This window comes from Homo sapiens, chromosome 8, assembly GCF_000001405.40.
Source record: "Homo sapiens chromosome 8, GRCh38.p14 Primary Assembly".
Taxonomy (NCBI): Eukaryota; Metazoa; Chordata; class Mammalia; order Primates; family Hominidae; genus Homo; species Homo sapiens.
This window is the reverse complement of record NC_000008.11, coordinates 38,785,330-38,807,222: the sequence shown is the minus strand read 5'-3', so window position 1 is coordinate 38,807,222 and position 21,893 is coordinate 38,785,330. Positions and strand designations below refer to the sequence as shown.

Here is a 21,893-nt window from a genome sequence, read left to right as displayed (position 1 = left end):
CTGGGGAAGGGAAGGGGGCTGAAGACCAAGTTATAAAAACTCTCGGAAGTATGAGCTTCAGAGAGCTTGTGGGCTGGCAAACGCTTAGATGTGCATGGAGAATGGCATTCCCAGAGAGGGCATGGAAGCTCTGCACACTCCTTACACCCAGCTCTTCCATGTGGCTATTTCTGAGTTGTATCCTTTATAACAAACCAGTAAACTTTAGCATTTTCCTGAATTCTCGGAGTTATTCTAATGAATTATCAAACCTGGGCGAGGGTATGAAAACTCCAAAATTTGTAGCCAAGTCAGACACAAGTGCAGATGACTGGGATCTGGGACTTGCAATTAGCATCTGAAGCGAGAGCAGTTTTGTGAGATTGAGCCCTTAAGCCTGTGGAGTCTGAGGCTAACTCGAGAAAGTAAGTATCAGAATAGAACTGAGTTTTTGAAAACCCAGCTGGGGCTGGAGAATCAGAGAACTGGTATAGAAGAGAACCGCATATTCCACAAGTACAGGTTAGCCACTGATACATGAACACAGTCTACTGAGCAGTAAGAAACAGGCCTAGAATCCTTCTTAGCAAGCACAAAAATATCTTCTTACCCAAAACCAAGTCCCCTTCTACCCACTTCTCCTCTGCTTCCATTTCATCACAGGACCCCATCCTCAACCTAGCCAGCCCCATCCCTCTTTCTCCTCCCAAGACAGAGGGATGGAATTTATTTTCTCTCTCTCTCCCTCTCTCTCTTTCTCTCTCTCTCACACACACACACATACACACACACACAGGCAGACCATGACTCAATCATGCTAGAGAGCCCCCCCTCAATTAATTCTAGAGCTATCTTCGTTCATCCAATTTCTCTTCATTCACAGGATGAACCTGAGAAAACCCAAGTGGACCATAAACCAGGGAAGGGCTCCAGGGTTCCTGCTGATGGCATGACGGAGTCAAGGTCATTGCTCTGTACTGTCACACCACTGAGAGCAGGCAGGCATGGAGCCAGGATGGAAGCAGATGGCATGTCTCTACAGACCCCCGGGGCCATGCTTCTGAGCACCCAGAAGTCAGACAGGGAACCCACACGACCACACTGGGGCCAGGTATCTCAAACAGATAGAATTATCCCCTCGCTCCTCTACTCTGTCCTCATTAGTGGAGGTGACCTCACAGCTTCACACAACTGCCCAGGTTGCAATATGTCTTATACTAAGCAAGCCTCTGACAACTAGAGAATAGAAGCCCTGGTTACCAAGGCAGTGGCCTAGATTGCTGAATCCAAGCCCCAAGTGTGCATCTCTGCCACTAAGGGCCACATAAGACACACAAAGGATGCCACAAATTTGGAAGGCTCAGCACTAATGGTGAAATTTTACAAACATATAAAAGCAATTGACTGTAAGCCATAGTATTAAGAAATTCTAATAAAGATCCAAACCAGATGTTCAATGTCGGCACTCTGTAATTCATTTAAACTGGCAGTTTTGCCAGGACCTGAAGCCCTAAAATTGAACCACAGAGTTATCTTCTCAGATCACCAACCAACCAACCAACCAACCAAGCAACCAACCAACCAAGCACAGGTCCTTACCACCAGCAGCACACCCTGTGCTGGGCACAGGCACAACGGAGTCCCAAAATAAGTGCAAGGAGCCTATTCAGCATCCAGTTAAGGAGGCAAAAGCCACACTCAAAGCCCCTTGGGACCAGCTGAGTACTGAATCAGGGGAAAGCCCTACCACCGCCTCATAGGACTGCCACCTCAAGGCCCACAACACATTTGCACAGAAAACCCTGCAGCTGGACTTCTGCTTTTAAAGGAGTCATTTCCTGTGTCACCAGCTTCCCTTTCTCAATGAGTTACTTCCTTTTTACATTTGTTTTCGTATTCAGCAAAAGAAGAAAGCTCTAGAAAAAATGATGCTTTATTTTTGAAAGCCAACTGATTTGTGTTTTTAAAGGACCTTTATTATTGACTTAGAAGTAAGCTGGGAAGAGGTGGGAATGCAGATAATTCATCTAAGGTATGTGCTATGAGAGAGGTTAGGAAGCCAAAGAATAGACCACGCTCAGTGATTCCTCAGGGAGGAAAGGAAACAGCTGCTCTCAATGCTAGCCAGGAACAAATGGGTCAGAGCCCAAAGATGACTTTCTAATGGGGCACTGATGCCCTTTGAGCCTGATACTATAGGATCTATGTTCTGCTATCTCTCAAGAAATAGGGAAATAGGTCCAAAAATCACTTTAATTGCCCTTTCAACTCAATCTTAGTTCATATTCCTTTGGTAACAAGGGCAATAATCTCTCCCCTCAAGTGCAACTCACAAAAGAGGAGCAAATCACAAATGTTAACTTCATAAACTGTAGACAGTTGGGAGGCTAAGTAGGGGGGATCACTTGGGCCCAGGAGTTTGAGACCAGCCTGGACAACACAGGGAGACCCTGATTCTACAAAAAAATTAAAAATTAGCTGAGTACAGTGGTGTTTGCCTGCAGTCCTAGCTACTCAGGAGGCTGAGGCAGGAGGATCGCTTAAGCCTAGGAGGTTGAGGTTGCAGTGAGCTGTGATAGTGCCACTGCACTCCAGGCTGGGAAAAAGAGTGAGAACCCATCTGAAAAATAAAAAATTGCAACAGGCCGGGCACAGTGGCTCACGCCTGTAATCCCAGCACTTTGGGAGGCCGAGGTTGGTGGATCACCTGAGGTCAGGAGTTTGAGACCAGGCTGGCCAACATGGCAAAACCCCATCTCTACTAAAAATACAAAAAATTAGCCAGGCATGGTGGCAGGTGCCTGTAATCCCAGCTACTTGGGAGGCTGAGGCAGGATAATTGCTTGAACCCGGGAGGCGGAGGGTTGCAGTGAGCCAAGATGGCGCCACTGAACTCAGCCTGGGTGACAAGAGCGAAATTCCATCCCAAAAAGAAAAAAAAAAATTGCAACAGTGCTAACAGTGGGCTACTCTTGACATTGAGTGTGAAAAATGCAAAGAAATTTAATGAAAATTTGTTCTAGAACAACTGTTTTCCTATAATTAAAAATTTAGAACAAATAAAATACTTCATACTTATATAGCCTTCAAAGCACTTCCATAAACATTACCTAACTTGATCCTCAAATCAACCCTGTGTAAAAGGCACAGTAGGGCTTATTAATGCCATTAAAAAATAAGAAAAAATACTATAAGTAACTGTAAGCTAACAAATTAGACAATTTCGATAAAATAGATCAATTCCAAGAAAGACACAAACTACTGAAACCAACTCAAGAGGAAACAGAAAATCTGAATGAATCTAAAACAGGCAGAGATTAAACTGGTAAATTTAAAACTTCCTCCAAAGAAAAGACCTGGACCAGACTGATGAATTCTACCAAACATTTAAAGAATTAATACCAATTGCTTGTAAACTTTTCCAAAAAATACCGAGGGAAGAAGCACTTTCCAACTCACTCCATCATGCCAATATTACTCTGGTGCCAAAACCAAACAAAGGAATCACAAGGGGGAAAAAAAAACTACAGACCAGCATCTTTTATTGAATATAGATGCAAAAATCCTCAACAGAATACTAGTAAACCAAATCCAGCAACACATAAAAAGGATTATACACCACAAACAAACAGGATCTATCCCAGGAATGCAAGGTTGCTTTAACATCTGAAAATCAATTAATATAATACACAACAATCAACAGAACAGAGGACAAAACACACATGATCATCTCAATACACACAGAAAAAGCATTTGACAAAATCCAACACTCTTTTATGATAAAAACACTAAGCAAACTAGGACTAGAAGAGAACTTCCTCAATAAAGGGCATTTATGAAAAACTCACAGCTGACGTCATACTTAATGATAAAAGACTGAATGTTTTCACCCTAAGGTCAAGAACGAGACAAAAATGTCAGCTCTTGCGACTTCTACTCAACACTGTTCTAGAAGTTTTAACCAAGGTAACTGGCAAGAAAAGAAATAAAAGGTATCCCTATTGGAAAGGAAGTAAAACTATCTCTATTTGCAGATGACATAATCTTTCATATAGAAAGTCCTACGGAATCCACCAAAAAACTATAAATGAAACCAACAAGGCTATAGGATGCAAGATCAATGTGTAAAAATCAATTGTATTTCTACACACTTGCAATGAAAATTCCAAAAAAAATTAAGAAAACAATTCCATTTATAACAGTATCAAAAAATAAAATATTTAGGAAATAATTTAACAAAAGAAATATAAGATGTTGATGTAGTTCGGATATTTGTCCCCTGCAAATCTCATGTTAAAATTTGATTCCCAGTGTTGTAGGTGAGGCCTAGTGGGAGGTGTCTGGGTCACGGGGGTGGATCCCTCATGAACGGCTTGTTGCTGTCCTGAAGGTAATGAGTGAGTTCTCATTCTATTAGCTCTCCTCAGATCTGATTATTAAAGAGCCCAGCGCCTCCTTTTCTCTTTCTCTCTTTCTCCTTCTCGTCTCTCACCATGTGACACACCTGCTCCACCTTTGCCTTCTGCCATAATTGGAAGCTCCCTGATGCCCTCACCAGAAACAGATGCCTGTGCCATGCTTCTACTACAGCCTATAGAATTGTGAGCCAAATAAACCTTTTTTCTTTAGAATTACCCAGCCTCAGGTATTCCTTTACAGCAGTGGTCCCCAACCTTTTTGGCACCAGGGACCGGTTTCATGGAAGACAATTTTTCCATGGACCGGGGAGATGGGAGGTAGGGGTATGGTTTTGGGATAAAACTGTTCCAGCTCAGATCATCAGGCATTAGATTCTCACAAGGAGTGCAAAACCTAGATCCCCGGTATGTGCCTTTCACAACAGGGTTCGCACTCCTATGAGAATCTAATGCCATCGCTGATCTGAGAGGAGGTGGAGCTCAGGCAGTAATGCTCGTTCACCCTGCTGCTCACCTCCTGCTGTGTGGCCCATTCCTAATAGGCCCAGGGGTTGGGGACCCCTGCTTTACAGCAATACAAAACGGACTGAGACAACTTATACTATAAAAACTGCAAGGCCAGGAGCAGTGGCTCACACCTGTAATCTTAGCACTTTGGGAGCAGCAGACAGGAGGATGACTTAAGCTCAGGAGTTGGAAACCAGCCTGGGCACCATAGGGAAACCCTCTCTCTACAAATAATTTAAAAATTACCCGGTCGTGGTGGCATGCGCCTGTGATTCCAGCTACTAGAGAGGCTGGGCAGGACTGTCTAAGCCTGGGAGGTTGAGGCTGCAGTGAGCCATGCTTGCATCACTGCAATCCAGCTTGGGTGACACAGCAAGACCATGTCTCAAAAAACAAACAAACAACAACAACAAAAAACATTGCTTGAAGCAATTAAAGAAAACCTAAATAAATGGAAGACACCCCATGTTCATGAATTGGAAGATTTAATATTGTTAAGACAGCAATACTTCCCAAATTTATTTACAGATTGAATACAATCCATATCAAAATCCCAGCTGCCTTCTTTGCAAAAATTAACAGACTGATTCTAAAATTCATATAGAAATGCAATGGACTCAGAATAGCTAAAACAATCTTGAAAAAATGAACAAATTTGGAGGCCTCATACTTCTTGATTTCAAAACTTACTACAAAGCTATAGTAATCAAGACAGTGTGGTGGTACCAGCATAACGAGAGACATATAGATCAGAGAAACAAAATTAAGAGTTTACAAATCAATACTTGTACCTATGGCCAACTGATTTTTGACAAGGGTGCAAAGTTAATTGTATAGGGAAAAGAATAGTCTTTTTGACAAATGGTGCTGGGACAACTGGATATCCACATGCAAAAGAATGAAGCTAGACTACTCCCTTACACCATATGCAGAAACTGACTCAAAATGGATCACAAATCTAAATGTAAGAGCTCAAACTATAAAACTGTTAAGACAAAGAAGTAAATCTTTGTGATTGTGGGTTAGGCAAAATCTTCTTATACATGACATCAAGGCATAAGAGACAAAACAAGTAAACTGAACGTTATCAAAATTAAGAACTTTTGCACTTCAAATGACACCATCAAGAAATGAAAAGACAATGGAAGAAAATATTTAGTCACATATCTAATAAGGAATTTGCATCTAGAATATATAACTTAGTGATAAAAAAGATAAATAACCTAATTAAAAAGTGGGGAAAGAATCTGAATAGACATTTCTCTAAAGAATATATACAAATACCCAATAGCTACATGAAAAGTTGCTCAATATCATCAGCCATTAGGGAAATGCAAATGAAAACCAAATGCAAATCAAAACTACTCCACACCTACTGGCATGGCTATAACCAAACAGACAGACAATAAGAAGTGTTGGAGAGGATATGGAGAAATTGAAACGCTCAAATACTACTGGCAGAAATGTAAAATAGTGCAGCCAGTTTGAAAAAGTTTGGCAGTACCTCAAAATGTTTGACATGAAGTTACCATATGGCCTAGCAATTCTACTCCTAGTTATATACCCGAGAAATGAAAACATAAATCCATGATGTGAATGTTCATAGCAGCATTATTCATCATAGCCAAAAGTGTAAATAACCCAAATGTCCGTCAACCAATAAACGGGTAAATAAAATATAGTATATCAATAAAATGGGGTATTGTTCAACAATAAAAAAGGAATAAAGTCCCGATACTTGCTACAACATAGCTGAACCTTGAAAACATGGTTAGTGAACTGATTCAGTCATACAAGACTACATATTCTACTACTCCACTTACATGAAACGTTTAGATAATCAAATCTATTGAGACACAAACTAGATCATCAGTTACCTAGGACTGGTGGTGGGAAGGAAGAGGAATGGAGTGTGACACCTAATGGGTATAGGGTTTCCTTTGGGGGTGATAAAATGTTCTAAAAATTAAATTGAGATAATAGTTGTACAACTCTGTCGATAAATTAAAAACTATCATAAAGCTTTTAAATGGTGAATTGTATGGCAGGTAAACTATATCTCAATAAAACTATTTTTAAAAAAGAACATGGAGGCTCAGACCCGAGGGAAATGGAGCAGGAGGAATGTCCTGTGATTTCTAGTAAAATGTTCAACTATACCACACAGATTTGCTCTGTTGTCCAGGCTGGAGTACAGTGGGGCGATTACGGCTCACTGGAGCCTCAACCTCCCAAGCTCAAGTGATCCTCCCACCTTAGCCTTCTGAGCAGCTGGGACTAAAGGCACAAGCCATCATGCCCTGCTAATTTTTTGTTTGTTTGTTTTTGGTAGAGTCGGGGTCTCATTTTGTTGCCCAGGCTGGTCTCAAGCAATCCTCCTGCTTTGGCCTCCCAAAGTGCTGGGATTACAGGAGTGAGCCAGCACACACATCCAAAGTACATGCTTTAAATAGTGTCTTATGTGTGTCACTTGGAGAGACACATGCTTGAGAGAGGTGGTAGGTCTCACCATCCCATCAATTTGGGGTTTTAAATTTCTCTTGAGGAAGCCCACATGTGCTACATAAATTCTATTTACAGAAAGAGGTGAAAAAAATGACATCATCCCTCTTTTCCACAACAGATGTAGCCAAGTATGGTATATGAAACATCCTAGAGTTATAATTGTCAAGCCCAAAAGGCTTTTTTTACTTTGTGGGCAGGGGGATTTTTAAAATTCTAACTTTTAACATTTGCCTTCTTCCTTTTAACATTTGACCTCCAGATTTGCGGGGGAATTTCTTCCCTCACAAATTCCCTATCTTTTGCTGCTAAAACTTCTTGGGATGCCAAGGCGGCCAAGAGGTCTGGGAAACAGGACAGGGCTAGCTCCCTCCAGACTCGGAGCCCCACAGGGGCCTTACTCTTTGTATCCCTGGGAGCAGAAACTGAGCGTCCAAGACAGAGCTGATGCTCAATCAGTGCCCACTGCAGGGCAAGTGTCTGATACATAAAGGACTCCTCCTCACCTCATCTGTCGCATACTGAGAAGGCCTAGCTAATTGTTCAGTGATGCCGCAGCTCAGCTCTAGGCTAACGGCTGGGGGATGGCTTGGCATAGCTCTTCCCTTGGCCCTTTGCCCTGAAGGTCCCACTCCTCCTTTCCGTGCCTTGGTCTTGCCCTCCCAGCTCTCCTCCCCCACACTGAATCAAGGGCTTCAGGAGGGAAACAAGCGTGATTCTGGCACCAACCCTTTCTGCTCAAGTGGTCTGCCCTGAGGAGACTGTTAATCAGATGTATATTAGCATTAATGCTAAAAGTCCAAAATTTGAGTGTTTTTTTCCCCCAGTTTCATGTCTTTGGGTTCCCAGTCTCTCTGATTCCTCCAAAGTTGAAGTGTATTTTATATATGTTCGTTCTCACTTAGTCATCAGCCTTAAAATGGAGAAGTACACAATTTATTGTCCAGGGTTGGAACAACCGTACAATAGGCCCTTTTCCAGGAATGCGGGATACAATCTAAGGGTATGGGCTGCATAGCTCACATTTCCCCAACAACTGCTGGGGCCCAGGATCCCCGGAAGCATGGGAGAGGGGTGGGTCAGCGGGATTCTGAGTGGGTGAGTCAAGGCAGACCATCCTCTTAGGTACATCATAGTTTTAAGCTGTCTCACCAACCAAAGCAGAAAAATACACATACACACACACACACACACACACACACACACACACGCAGAACCCAGACAACAAACTACCTGTTTAAACCCCTTCCTAACCTCCAAAAAACCCCCAAACAAAAACATTACCCAGAAGTCACGGTAGGGCAAATTTCATTGCTTTTTTAAGAGACAGGGCACCAGCTACACTGCTGTTCTCCTGAGATAAGCCTCTAACTCCTGAGAGAGGCTCCCCCTAAAACCTAAGACTCTACAGGTAAAGAATAATCTGGAAAACCACTTGGTAAACTGAAAAAAGTTTGTACTAAGGATGAAGAAAGCACTTCAAATTTCCAAAACAGCACTTTATGCTATTTTATTTAAAAAGACACCCAAGCCAGGTGTAGTGGTACACGCCTGTAGTCCCAGCTACTCGGAAGGCTGAGTCAGGAGGATCCCTTAAGACTGGGAGTTGAGGCTGCAGTGAGCTATGATTGTACCACCACACTCCAGCCTGGGCAACACAGCAAGACCCTGTCTCTAAAAAAAAAAAAGGAAGAAAAATAAAAAGAGACCCAAACCGTATCTCTAAAGGCCAAGATTATAAGGTAAGAGGATGGGACTTGCTTATCAGGAAGTGTCCACCCACCAGGAAGCCAAAGCCTCCTCCAGAGAAGCCAATCCAGCAATGAATGTGTCTTCTCTTCTCACTCATGAGATGCCCATGGGTTCTGGAACCATCTGGATTTGTTTGAGGTTATATTTTAGACAGAGTAGAAATCCCCTTCCACAGACAGAAATCATAGAAGGCCCTCCCCACAAAACTTCTCCCCCATCCCCAACCTATTCTGGCAGGAAGAGCAAGGGGGGAAAGAGCACGTGCTAACAGATGGGGCTCCTGTGCAGAGATCTGGGATTGTGTAACTTCAATCTGTTGCTGCCAAACAACCATAATGTGCATCTCTTCAGAAATAATTACTGGAAAATTCAAAATACCAACTGCCTCTCTCACAAAGTAGCAACCACCCACATGGAGCTGAGAAGCTGATGCTGGATAAAGAAGAAGAGGGAGGAATGTTCAGCAAGAGAGGGGCCTCCAGACAGAGCAATCTCAGCCAGCATGCTGGGTGCATGAGACACATCCATGGCAGGACCACAAGCCAATAGGCGGCTATATAATTTCTTCAGCCAGTTCTGCTCCTGTTTAAGAAAGAGGGCAGCAAGAAGGAGTGGGGTTAGGAAGGGCATAGTGAAGAGACGCCAAAGGAAGAAAGCAATGGGAAAAGCTTTGCCATCTAAGAATGTATACCCTTGTATATCCTTTCATGCAAGTTTTTTAAAAAGTGGAAAAGGGCTTTGTGGTAGCCAGCCTCCAAGACGGCCCCTATATGTCTCACCTCCTGGTACACATGCCCTTGGACTGACCTGTGTAACCAAAAGGATACTGTGGAAATAAGTGTGACTTTTGAGGCTAAGTCACAGAAGACTCTGCAGTTTCTATCTTGCTTGCTCTTGGATCACTCACTCTGGGGCAGCCAGCTGCCATGCTGTGAGGATACTCAAGCAACCCAGCAGTGGTCCACATGGTGAGGACTGCAGCCTCCCACCAACAGCCAGCACTCACAGCCCAGGCAAATGAGTAAGCCGCCTTAGGAGAGGATTCTTGAGCCTCAGTCAAGTCTTTAAACAACTGCAGTCCCAGCCGACATCTTGACAGCATTCTCAAAAGTGACCTGAGCCACACCACCCAGCTCCCAAATTTCCCAACTACAAAGACTATGTGAGATGTTCGTTGTTTTCAGTTTTGGAGTAATTTGTTATGCAGCCAGAGATCACCAACAAAGGCCTCTTAAAAACTCCTCTATCTACCATAAAACAGGCGCAGAGCCCCTGGCAGCCGCACACACCTCCACACACCTGCCTCTTCTCAACCATGCATGACTCAGGTGGAGACAGAATGCAAAGGCTAGTACTGAATTTGTCTACTCCTTCTTTATTTTTCACTGATGAGCTGAAGCTAGGCATTGAGGAAGCAAAATGTTTTCAATCCCACTGCACTTATCCAGTGATGATTTTTGCTTGACTATTAATTTATATCTAAATCATGCTGCAAGCTTCCAAACTTCTGATGTTTCAACTTCCTAAAATACATTTCATACTTCAGAATAATATGTGCCAAGTTCACACATGTGGAAGATGTATTTTTTGATTTTTTAAACTACTATCACATGACAGGATACTTAAGACGATGCTTTCCCCCATCACACACCCTGCTCTGGCAACATTTTAAGACCCTTTATTTCCTCTGATATGTCTTCTCTTCAGATAGTGAACAACAGAGAGGGATTCACAAATTTCCTGGAGAGAAAAGCTGTATAATATGTTCCAAAGAGCTCTGGATCTGCAATCTTAAAAGCTGAATTCAAAACCCAGGTCCACTACTAGCAGTAAAGGCTCTGGCCTCAATTTCCCAATCTGTGAAATGGAAATCACTTGTGTCCTATCTCGCAGAATCATGGTCATAAAAATCAAACAAGATGCTGCAAACAAAGATTACTTGTTCCCAACACATCTAATAAATAAATACGGCTGAAACAGATAGCTGGTGATCTGCTAGGTGGGAATATTGTAATGGGAAAGCTGGAGATCAATCATTTATTGTCATATTTCCAGCTATGATATAAGAAAGAGGGTCCTCGACTGGCTAGGAGAGTATCTGCATCTGCCAAACTGTCAAGATACATTTTTCATTTGTGAATTAATAAAATACTCCATGCCATTATTATTATTCCCTTGTGAGTCTGGCCATCATCAATCTAAACCCTGGGGATCTAATCATGTTTGTTTGAACTCATAAAATTAGGTCATGTACATGCAAAGGTGAGGGTGAGATCTTGAACTCACAAGTAGCAAAGCCTTTCTAAGCCCAGATTTAATAGTCACCAGGCAATTTAGCAACCTTGGTTATGAAATCTCCACTGAGAGGGTTGTTTTGGGTGGATAAACCATTATCTCCCATCGCTACTCTGGATTTAGGAGAGTGTGACAAAATGGTTTATACCCTCCAAGATTTCCTCTGGGCAGTATAACTGGTAACCTGAAAAAGACACTGCAACTGCTCTTTCATTTAAATGTTTAAATGGCTTTAGGCCACATCCATTTTGTAGGTGGGACATTACATGGCAGCAATATAATTTTAGAAGGACTGCCGGCTCCCAAAACACATACACAGGTAGAAAGTGTCTCTGCCACCCGCAAGTACCAAAGTAAGTTCTACTGCTTTATTCGATGCTTGGGTAAGCCCAAAATGGGGGAGTGCAAGGTCTTGATTTTGTCACTCATCTTAAAAGAAAAATTGTGATTTGATAGTTACTAAAATCTTTCCTTTCTGCAGGTAGACTTTGCTTCCCTGCCCTGGAATTTTTTATTCAGACACTGTTGCTCCTCTGTGGTTCTGCACTCTCACAAGTTTCTGCTGGAAAAACTACACTTTTTTCCCCAGGAAGACACTCCCTTGGGTAAGGCACCATATAGAAGCAGGTGCTTCCTAGGGGCACATTTACATTGTGATAGAGCAACAACAACAAAAAAACACATGACTCTGATCTCATTTATTAGCTGGTTGGAATCTCCAACTTCAGAGCTAAAAATACATGAAAAAACAAAGTAGCTATATCATGCTAAGATTTTCAAGCTTTAAATACCTTAACATGGAATTATACAGTACAAAAAAATCAAACTGTGGAAGAGGCAATCACAGCAAAACATTAAAAATTTAAAATTAAATTAAAAGCATTAGGCTGCGATGCTGTTGAAGGAGCCACATGGGTTGGACTGCTGGACTAGGTAATATGAAAGGTCCTAATTAGTCCCATTATTTCTAGGAAACTCTAATAAAGCATTCCCTTGTTGGAGCAGGGAAAGGATGTTAAACTAAATCCTTAGGAGGATATACTTGTAGACTTGAATGGAACACTTCAATATGTACCTAATGAAAATTTTTCACATAGTATCTGATTAAACATATAACTCAAAGCTTTAGAATAAAAAATCAAAGCCTCTGATTTTAACAAGGTTTCCATGCTGTGTTTTCTATAGCACGCACACACACACACACACAAACAAACACACACACACGTGCAGTCTAAAACATTCTAAAAATACACCATATCAACCTTTTAAGAGATCTGCACAGTCAACTTACAAATTCTCATACACCCGAAGTTACATTAAAGACATTTAATGGGTTGGGTGAGGCTGGCTCATGCCTGTAACCCCAACACTTTGGGAGGCCAAGGTGGGAGGATCACTTGAGCCCAGGAGTTCGAGACCAGCCTGGGCAACACAGTGAAACCCCATCACTATTTTTTTAAAAAAAATTTAAGAAAATAAAATGTTAAAAAAAATTTAATGGGCAAAAGTTAAAAGTCTATGTGTTTGTACTTCTATTAAATGATTCCAATATTCTCCCCATTCTTCCCTAATTTCCTTTTTAAATAATTTTTATTCCTCCTTAGATCTTTGAGTCAATTGAAAATCAAGTTCATTGCAGACCAATTACATCACTTCCCCTTTGCAAATATGACAAATAGCCAGGCCACATCAGGCTCTCCCCTGGGCCTTCCCTGAACATGCAGGCCTAGACTAATGGCACCTCACGCCCACAGTTCATTTGTTCAGCAGGTATAACCTTGCACCTTTTCATTCTTAAAGCCATTTTCCCAAATTACTTAAACTCTGTATTTTTACTGAAATTGTAATAAGTATAGATGTAGGTTGACATTTTTTTTCTGTACAAGATAGTAAATATGTTAGACTTTTGCCAGACATTTGGTCTCTGTTCCAAGTACTCAACCCAGCTATTGTAGAGCAAAAGCAGCCATAGACAATACATGAATGAATGAGTATGGCTGTATTCCAATAACTTTATTTATGGGGATGACAGTGGTGGTTCAAACCTGAAATCCCAGCATTTTGGGAGGCTGAGGTGGGAGGATCACTTACTTGAGCCCTGGAGCTCAAGATCAGCCTGGGCAACATAGCAAGACCCCATATCTACCAAAATATATATTTCATATATATATAACTTGATGGGCCCTGAAATTTTGTTTTGTTTTTTTTTAAGAACTACTTTATTGAGATATAATTCACAAACCATACAGTCCACCCTTTAAAATATATGATGCAATGGTTTTTAGTAAATTCACATAATCGTGTGACCATTGATGGGCCCTGAAATTTGGATTTCACATTATTTTCACACATCACCATTAAACCATCAAAAAATGTAAAACTCATTCTTCTGTTCAGGGCCATGCAAAAAAACAGGACAGGCAGGGCTTGGTCTATGAGTCACAGTTTGCTGATTCTGATCGAGACTACCAAAATTGTGTCAACAAACAACTTGGCATTCCCTCACAGGCCTGAGGCAGTAAATATCTGTGCACAGATCCCATTTATCTCTTTTCTTCTATTCTGGGGAAAAGTCCAGAGAACTACAGTTTGTGTTTGAAATACCTAGGCATTTAATTAACACATCAAACTGGAGAGGTTTAACGAGTTGTTCCAAGGGTGATGTGAGAGCTTCTACACTAATTAAGATTCTCTTTCTCAGAGAGAGGTAACAATCTGTAGATAAAGGTGTGTGTGTTTGGGGAAGGGGGGCTATGTTGGTGAAGGAGAAACTCAAGGGGCAGAGGGCACCCACTGCAGTTTTTGTGACTGAAACAGCTACACAAAGCCACAACCCCTAAGTCCTCCATAAACACACATGCAAACACAAAAGCCAGGCATGGTAGCTCACGCCTGTAATCCCAGGACTTTGGGAGGGTGAGGCAGGAGAATCCCTTTAGGCCAGGAGTTCGAGATCAGCCTAGGCAACATAGCAAGACCCTATCTCTACAAAAAATAAAAAAACTGGCCAGGCGTGGTGGCTCACGCCTGTAATCCCAGCACTTTGGGAGGCCAAGGCGGGCGGATCACGAGGTCAGGAGATCGAGACCATCCTGGCTAACACGGTGAAACCCCGTCTCTACTAAAAATACAAAAAATTAGCTGGGCGTAGTGGTGGGCGCCTGTGGTCCTAGCTACTTGGGAGGCTGAGGCAGAAGAATGGCGTGAACCCAGGAGGCGGAGCTTGCAGTGAGCCGAGATCGCACCACTGCATTTCAGCCAGGGCAACAGAGCGAGACTCTATCTCAAAAAACAAAACAAAACAAAAAATTAGCCAGGCATGGTAGTGTGTGCCTATAGTCCCAGCTACTCAGGAGGCTGAGGCAGGAGGATCATCTGAGCCCAGGAGTTGGAGGCTGCAGTAAGCTATGATCATACTACTGCACTCCAGTCTAGACATAGATCCTGTCTCAAAGCAAAACAAAACAGAGGATGAACTTGAGATTGTACCTCCTCAAAAGTCCATTCCTAGAGGATGTTTCTTCACCAATATATTTCCCAGCAAAGAGAAAGACCACCACAACAGCAGCAGCATTAAACAACTTTAGTGGGAGAAAACAGACAGATAGCAAATACAGACCAGCCCAAGCTTTACAGCTACCAGTCTGGTTATTTCCAGGAAATATCTTTAGCTAGAGTTTTATTTTACCAGTAAGCCTAAAACCTGCTTCTATATGTGGCTTCAAAAAAAATCTACAACCTTATCCGCCACTTAACTCCTGGCATACAACTCTTAGGAAGAGTCATTATAGAGTTTAGATACTGCAAGTTCCTAAAGCAGTTCCAGTATAAGAAAAGTCATTTCAAAATAGTCTTAGATGTTTCCCTGAGTTCAAAGAACTATACAGAAGTCAGCACAGGAGCCATGGGTATGGTAAATGTAGCCCACACGTTTGAGGGCCATTATGTACCAGGAAGCCAGAATGTTTACATATTTCAACTCCAACTCCTGACTAACTCCTCGTAAATCATTCTTCCAGAATGATTTAGTCTTATATAATTTATAACTGCGGTCCAACCATGTCTTGGAACCACAAAAGTATGAAAGACTATCTTTACCAGGAACAAAACAATCAATAATTTTGGGAGAAAGGGAACTTATCCAGTCCCAGAAATTAAACTTCAATATGAAATGACTCTGAAGGGCTTTCTGCCCACTGAAATCCTCTCCAGGCAGACCTGTGCTCTGGCTGTCTTTGCACATTTGCTGTGTATGTGTGACAAGGCCATTGGCGGTACTCTGGACTAGCTCCGGATGTTGCACCCAAGGACCCTGGAAGTCAGGGTACGACCAGGTTGATGAGCAATCATCCTATTGTTTAAAGACCCTAAACTGAAAGCCTTCATAATATGCAGGGTTGTTTCCTGGACTGGACACTCCTCTACCCCTACAATTACAGTCTGCATTCATGAACTACCCCATAGAGCCTTCATGATCCATAAACATTTAAAAGTTTTCCTTTTAGAGAGAATGAAAAAAATGTGAGAGTCACTGGTACAGGAAGGACCAAACAATTGGGTCTCTGTGGTTTTGGGGGCCTAGGTCATCCAGGCCTCTATTCAATTGGCAAAGAATCTGGCGGGATGAATCAGTCTAGCAGCTGACAAAACGATGAGGAAGGGCCGCCCAAGCTGATGGCAATTCAAAAAGGCTTTCAAACAGCTCCTTAACATGTGTCTTATGAGCTTTATTTAAATTTGATGGAAAGGCCACCAAATAGTTCTTTCAAGCTTCAAAATCTCCCTTCTGATCTGCCAATCTTTACGGAAGAAAAGGGAAGCTATGAGGAATAAGTGTTATCTTCATCACTGAGAGTGCTACACAGCTATGCGTCGCACACAAATTCTCCAGTATATAAGCTTGCCTATTCCCATGTTGTCCCTGCCTAGAACAATGGCAAAATGCAGCCTAGGGCAAGTTGAGGGTATTGCTGAATTCTCAGCTGGGTAAGCACAGCATGGAGCTATCAATTTAAAGCAAAACCAAATCAGCTTTTTGCTGATGTCATTTTACCAATAATTCCAGCTCCATCATGCAGTCTATTACCAGAGTAACTTGACTTCCCTAGGCAACCTACGAAGAAGTTGCTAAGCAATAAAAATACTTATTAGGGAGAGGAGAAAGTCACAATCAGCACAAAGTTTAGGTAGCTAGATAACTGAAAGCTGGCGCTGCCACTTCAGGGTGACAGTGCCAGATACTGGAACAGAGAAACCACATAAAAAGGACTTCCATCCTAGAGTCCCTTCTCCACACAGCAGCCCAGGGAGCCTTTTACAAAAGAAGCTGAATCACAATCCCTCTGTTCAAAGCTCTCTGTTGTGGGCTGAATTATGTCTCTCAAAATGATATGTTAAAGTCCCAACTCCTAGTACCTATGAATGTGACCTTATCTAGAAATAGTATCTCTGAAGATGTTACCAAGTTAAGATGAGGTCAAACTGGATTAGGGTGGGCCCTAACTTCAACGACTGGTGTCCTCACAGGAAGGGCACGGTAAGACAGATACATAGGGAGAAGATGGCCATGTGTTGAGACAGAGACTGGAGTTCTGCTGCCACAAGCCAAAGAACACAAAGGATTGCAGACACCCAGCAGAGGCTAGAAGAGGCAAGGACAGACTTCCTGGAGCCTTCAGAAGAGCAAGGCCCTGCCAACACCTTGACTTGAGACTTCTGGTTCTGATTTCAATTATCCAGGACTGTGAGAGAATAATTTCTGTTATTGTAAGCCGCTAAGTTACTCTGTTATGGCAGCCCTTGGAAATGCATATGCCCTCCAGTGGCTTTCCACCTTACTGAAAACCAAATCCTCACTGCAGCAGCATCTGGACCTCCTCTGACCACGCTGACTTCAGCTCCTCCTGCTCTCTGAGTAGTCAGTCCACACTGACCTCCTGGCTGGTCCTCAAACTGTACCATGAACCCTCCACCTTACGGCCTCCCTGCAGCAGGCTGGTGCTGTCAGACCTTTGCAGATGCCACTCCTTCTGCTGGAAGGGTTCCCACCTCAGGAACCTCCAAGGCCTGCTCCCTCAATCTGCCTTCAGGTCTCTGTTCAAGTCACCTAATCATGAATGCCCCCACTAACTCCCCTTCAGCCTTCCCTATCCCCACTCCATATTCCCTATTCTCTTCCCCTGCTTTATTTTTCTCCACAGTGCTTCACACAAGCTGACATAGATATTTTGCTTAACCCTTCACAGGTTCTCCCTCCACAATGTTAGCTCGAGAGAGCAGGACTTCACTGCTGAATCACAGTGCACTCTATTTAGTAAATAAGCATATGAATTCTGTTGGGATAGGTGAAATTTTATTCTGAACTGGCTGTGTGACAAAAAAGGTTTCTACTAATTAAGTGAGACAACGGAAGCTCCTGCAGATGAAGGGCTGGGCTCTGAGGGGCTGGGAGGGAATCCATGTGCCAGGTTTTCCTAAGTAGACTGAAGGGCTCTCACCACATCCCTGCATGGAAGTGGGCGAGGTGAGTGATTCCGAAAAAGCCTCTTAAGAACCTCCCTATCAAAAATTAAGTCAAGTCTTACCTGTAATTTTTGTCTCCAGCCACACCCCAGTAGAAAGCAACTTAGCCTGAGGAATTTGTGAAGTCAAATATAAACATGATCTTCCTACTTCATTACTATACATATTTTTTTAGGGGCTGAGGAGAAAGGCCTAGTAGGAATGTTTGATAATGATAATCTTATACTGCAAATGCACAAACTCTACTCAGAGGAGAAAGCCTCGATCACCACACCCCTAAAAATACATAAGCCAGGAGGTTTCAAACAGCTCTTTCTTAGTCAAACTCTCTTAAATGGTCCTAAATTTACACTTTTTTCCTTCCTTCATTGATATTTTTCAAAACTTTTGAAACAAAACAGGCAGGAAAAATGCAAGTTTTTCTTTACCTTGGCTTTTGGCCCCAGGTCCTGCCAATCCGAGTGATGGATCACAGGACTCCTTGAAAGGTGATCGGATCGGGGTTTCAGCTTCAGGAGTCTCAAAATTACCTTCAGAATCCGAGCTGCCAAGGAGGAAAAATGAGGAATTACCACTTTCAACGGTATTTCCGACACCCTTTGAAATCTACATATTCACAGAGGCTAAAAGTCCAGCACTTTTGTCTAACTTCACAACCAACCGGTCCTCAGCAGGGTCTGACCTGCGGGAGGCAACTGCGGTCTCTGAGCAGTGCCCTCCTTGGGTTTCTCAGGCTGGCATCCTGTCTCTCTGAAAGCTCCTCCATTCCCTGGAGCTTTTCTCCAGCACCATTTATTTTCGAGGTCATCCTTCCCTCAGACACCTGAAAAATGCGCTTTTCCAACAGACTCCTTTTGTCACAAGAGCCCTTTCCCAGAGGCTTTAACAATTAATACTGGTCCCACCCCCGAGTTAGGCCGATGCTAGGCATTCCTCTTTGCTCGGTAGGCCTCTACCTGCTGGAACTCCCTGGGCCCGAGGCTAAGAATGGTGTCACCTGCCTTCCGCAATCACGCGGATGACAGCCCGGCAGAGACCACCATTTCCCAGCAGCTGCCAGGGGCCTGTCATCACGCGACCTTCTTCACCGCGGCTGCGTTTTGGGTACACGGTAGGGCCCCGGGAAGGGCCGGGGAGCGACTTCTTCCCCACGGGGGGGCCCTAAGTTGCACTGGGTTAGATCAGTGACGTTGCTCCAGTGTGGAGGGGCGGGGGCTGGGGGTCGAAGCTTAGAGAAAGTGACCGAGGCCAGCGGGGATGCGGAGAGACTGCAGATTCTGGGTTGGGTGCGGAACTCTCCTAGCGAAACGGGGGCCAGAAACCCCACGGGAGGACAGAAGATCCTGAACTTTCGGACGCACACGGGGACCCGGCTCCGGGCAGGGACGCGGCACGGCCGTGAGGACGGTTTCGCGGGTGGCGACCACACACACGCACACAGAGGGAGTCGCAGATGGATGGAGGCAAGCGCGTCTGCATCTCAGCGGGGACGCCGTGTACTTGCCTGAAACTCAAGGATTTGGTCTCGGCTTGCGAATCCTCCTCCTCGGGGTCGCCCTCGGGCCCGCCAGCCTCGTCCTCGCCGGCGGCCCCGCCGCGTACCGCAGACCACGTCCATTTCGCCCACTGCACGGGGGACAGGATCTGCCACGGGCTGAACGCCATGAGCGCGGCTCCTCCGGCTCCAGCTCCTAGGGGCAGGGGAATGGGTGGGGAGAGCCTTTTTCCCTTTCAAAATGGAGGGAACCGGTGACAGGCGCCAGCAAGCGTTTCCAGCAGAGGCGCGGATGTGGTTAAACGAGTGCCGTCGGGGGCCCTGGTGGAGCGCTTCCTCCCGCCGGCAGCCGGCGCTGCGTCCTCCTCGGCCTCCTCCCCTCACGGTGCGGCCGCAGCGGGCCCCGCGCCGGGCTCCACTAGCCGGGAAGACGCCCGTCCTGTGGCCTCCTCAGGCCCCCGGCCCGCGGCGCCCGGCTGCTAGACCTCTGCTGCTCCCGCTCCCGGCTCGCGGACTCCCGCCTCCCGGCCGGCGGGGCGCGCATCAGCTGCCGCCGGAGCCGCGCCCCAGAAGCCGCCCCCTCGGACCGTACTACTCGCGCGCGCGCGCGGGGGCGGCGGCGGCGCCGGGGCTTTGAAGACGGCCGCGCGCCCGCCGGATCCCCCTACCGCGGCGTCACGCTGGTCGCGGCCCGACTGAGGGCCGGGGCTTGCCGGCTGCGCGGGGAGATTCGGTCATACCCCACAGGTCCGCCGGCGTCCGGGGCAGAGGAGGACCGTTTTCTGAGCCGGGGCACGCTGTCCTCTTCCTCTTTCCTTATTCCTTTTTAAAATTTTTTTAAACATTTTCATCTTGCCACTGTGACTTCACGGCGATGGTGATATTGGACTGCACACAAGCCCCTTGTTACCAAAAAAAAAAAAATACAAACCTTCGCGGCCGCTGTGGACTGTTGTTTTCCCCTCCCTAACCCTGGCAGCGTGGGGGATTTCAGCCTGTTCATCTCCATCCCTGGCATTCCCGGGATTTGAAAATCCCTTGGCAAAGCCACAAGAGTGACCGAGGACTGGAATTTAAGATGCCCTCCCCCTCCCCAAACCGCACTCGGGGAGGCTTCCCAAGTGCCCAGGTCTTGTCTTAGGTAAAGGGTACTAAATTCCCTGTGAGATTACAGCCTGATGGGTTTCCCATTCTCCATATTTATTTATTTAAAATACAGACAGGCGTCTCGATATGTTGCCCAGGCTGGTCTTGAACTCTTGGCCACAAGCGATCCTCCCGCCTCTGCCTCCCAAAATGCTAGGATTCCAGGCCTGACACCGCGCCTGACCCCATTCTCCTTTTTGAGATTTTCTTTTCGTAACTTCTAAGTCTTTGATTTCTGACTTATTTCGCTGCTTCAGTAACAAGCCAAGAGGCCTGGCGACATCTTTAGGTTTGAAGGCAATGGGAAATAGCTGATGTTCTCCATTTCCCATGGAGGGATTTCATGTAGGGATTGTTCCTCTCAAAACCACCAAAGCACCTTCTTCCAAGTGAATCGATTGCCTCAAACACCAGGCTTAATGATCTCCTTGCCTGGATAAGGTGTTCCAGGTGGTACTGTAATTTCCGAGTTGTGGTGCATCCATGAGGTGCCTGCAGGTTCCCACAGAGACAGCAGCTCCAAAATGTGCACGTTGAAACTTGCAAGAGACTAACCGTTGCCTCTGAAAGCAGTTGGCATGTATATTCATCGTGACTGTTTTACACATTTGATAACAAAAACAGGAGCAAAATACAAGATAAGGCTTGGCAGGGTAGTTTTACCAAAACCGAAGGGCAGGAGTTAACCTGAAGTCTAGAGAAAAGAAAGGGGTGGGGTGTCAGGATGCTTTCGAATTCATCCTGGCTTCTTCCCAGAAATAAATTGTCATGAGTGTTCTAGCGACTATAAAGAAGTGAACTAGGCAGGAGGTCCATGTGAAATATATCACACCACTTATCCAACTGTTGTAGTTTTAGGTTTATGCTTACCCAGTAAAACTTCAGGTTCTACAGTCCCCCAGGCTCCTGGATTTGACACAGGGTTCTGTTTCTGGGAAATAATATTACCCCAGCAAATCAGTAACTAGCATACACTAGGACCTGTTCTTCCTCCTGAATAGTTCTCTTATCTTTTCATTCCTTTGCATCCCTGTGGTGACTGACATAGTTCCCGCACTCCCCATCTTTCATGATCTACTGTAAATAACTCCCACCTGGTTTTACCTCTGAAGGTTTTCTTGCCTGAGGTCACCCCTGCCTGGCTGATCAGTGACTCGTGCTCTAATCTTTCGGTTCCCATTCCCCTCTATGCCCATCCTTTTGTATTCCTAGCCACAGTGAGTAGAGAACTCGTTGTCAATCTTTAATATGCCCAAGAATCATCCGCCAGCCTTCTT

General features: G+C 44.5%; 1 protein-coding gene across 53 annotated transcripts in view, besides 9 other annotated features; it reads right to left on the bottom strand.

Moving 5' to 3' along the window:
- Positions 1–21,893, bottom strand: part of TACC1 (transforming acidic coiled-coil containing protein 1) — a 124,447-nt gene that overhangs the window by 45,806 nt on the left and 56,748 nt on the right. For 18 of the 53 annotated variants that reach the window (NR_148050.2, XM_047422141.1, XM_047422142.1 and 15 more), the window contains one exon: positions 18,404–18,519. The exons of 11 other annotated variants lie outside the window; for them this stretch is intronic. Coding sequence is in view for 28 of the 42 variants with exons in the window: in XM_047422141.1 (XP_047278097.1) it covers positions 18,404–18,519 (116 nt within the window). In the remaining 14 variants the exon portion in view is untranslated. Of the gene's footprint in view, positions 1–1,578; positions 1,774–18,403; positions 18,520–18,976; positions 19,118–19,479; positions 19,988–20,210; positions 21,311–21,486; positions 21,548–21,893 lie in introns of those variants that run through there. 24 more of the 53 variants (NM_001352779.2, NM_001352781.2, NM_006283.3 and 21 more) reach the window with 8 other exon arrangements.
- Positions 317–508: a silencer, noted in NCBI's record as "fragment chr8:38664233-38664424 (GRCh37/hg19 assembly coordinates)". NCBI's record gives its function as "represses an EF-1alpha promoter that drives an FKBP-Casp9 reporter gene in an ReSE screen in K562 erythroleukemia cells {active_cell/tissue: K562}" and the evidence as "EXISTENCE:reporter gene assay evidence [ECO:0000049][PMID:32094911]".
- Positions 1,479–1,528: an enhancer, noted in NCBI's record as "active region_27262". NCBI's record gives its function as "activates an Ori minimal core promoter by ATAC-STARR-seq in GM12878 lymphoblastoid cells {active_cell/tissue: GM12878}" and the evidence as "EXISTENCE:reporter gene assay evidence [ECO:0000049][PMID:35858748]".
- Positions 1,879–1,938: an enhancer, noted in NCBI's record as "active region_27261". NCBI's record gives its function as "activates an Ori minimal core promoter by ATAC-STARR-seq in GM12878 lymphoblastoid cells {active_cell/tissue: GM12878}" and the evidence as "EXISTENCE:reporter gene assay evidence [ECO:0000049][PMID:35858748]".
- Positions 9,340–9,499: an enhancer, noted in NCBI's record as "active region_27260". NCBI's record gives its function as "activates an Ori minimal core promoter by ATAC-STARR-seq in GM12878 lymphoblastoid cells {active_cell/tissue: GM12878}" and the evidence as "EXISTENCE:reporter gene assay evidence [ECO:0000049][PMID:35858748]".
- Positions 9,570–9,709: an enhancer, noted in NCBI's record as "active region_27259". NCBI's record gives its function as "activates an Ori minimal core promoter by ATAC-STARR-seq in GM12878 lymphoblastoid cells {active_cell/tissue: GM12878}" and the evidence as "EXISTENCE:reporter gene assay evidence [ECO:0000049][PMID:35858748]".
- Positions 9,829–10,367: an enhancer, noted in NCBI's record as "OCT4-NANOG hESC enhancer chr8:38654374-38654912 (GRCh37/hg19 assembly coordinates)". NCBI's record gives its function as "activates a minimal SCP1, AML or CMV promoter by ChIP-STARR-seq in primed H9 embryonic stem cells {active_cell/tissue: H9 hESC(primed)}" and the evidence as "EXISTENCE:reporter gene assay evidence [ECO:0000049][PMID:30033119]".
- Positions 12,958–13,252: an enhancer, noted in NCBI's record as "tiled region #13542; HepG2 Activating non-DNase unmatched - State 23:Low, and K562 Activating DNase matched - State 14:Gen5'". NCBI's record gives its function as "activates a minimal TATA promoter and a strong SV40 promoter by Sharpr-MPRA in HepG2 and K562 cells {active_cell/tissue: HepG2 | K562}" and the evidence as "EXISTENCE:reporter gene assay evidence [ECO:0000049][PMID:27701403]".
- Positions 19,724–20,263: a silencer, noted in NCBI's record as "silent region_19136". NCBI's record gives its function as "represses an Ori minimal core promoter by ATAC-STARR-seq in GM12878 lymphoblastoid cells {active_cell/tissue: GM12878}" and the evidence as "EXISTENCE:reporter gene assay evidence [ECO:0000049][PMID:35858748]".
- Positions 20,304–20,383: an enhancer, noted in NCBI's record as "active region_27258". NCBI's record gives its function as "activates an Ori minimal core promoter by ATAC-STARR-seq in GM12878 lymphoblastoid cells {active_cell/tissue: GM12878}" and the evidence as "EXISTENCE:reporter gene assay evidence [ECO:0000049][PMID:35858748]".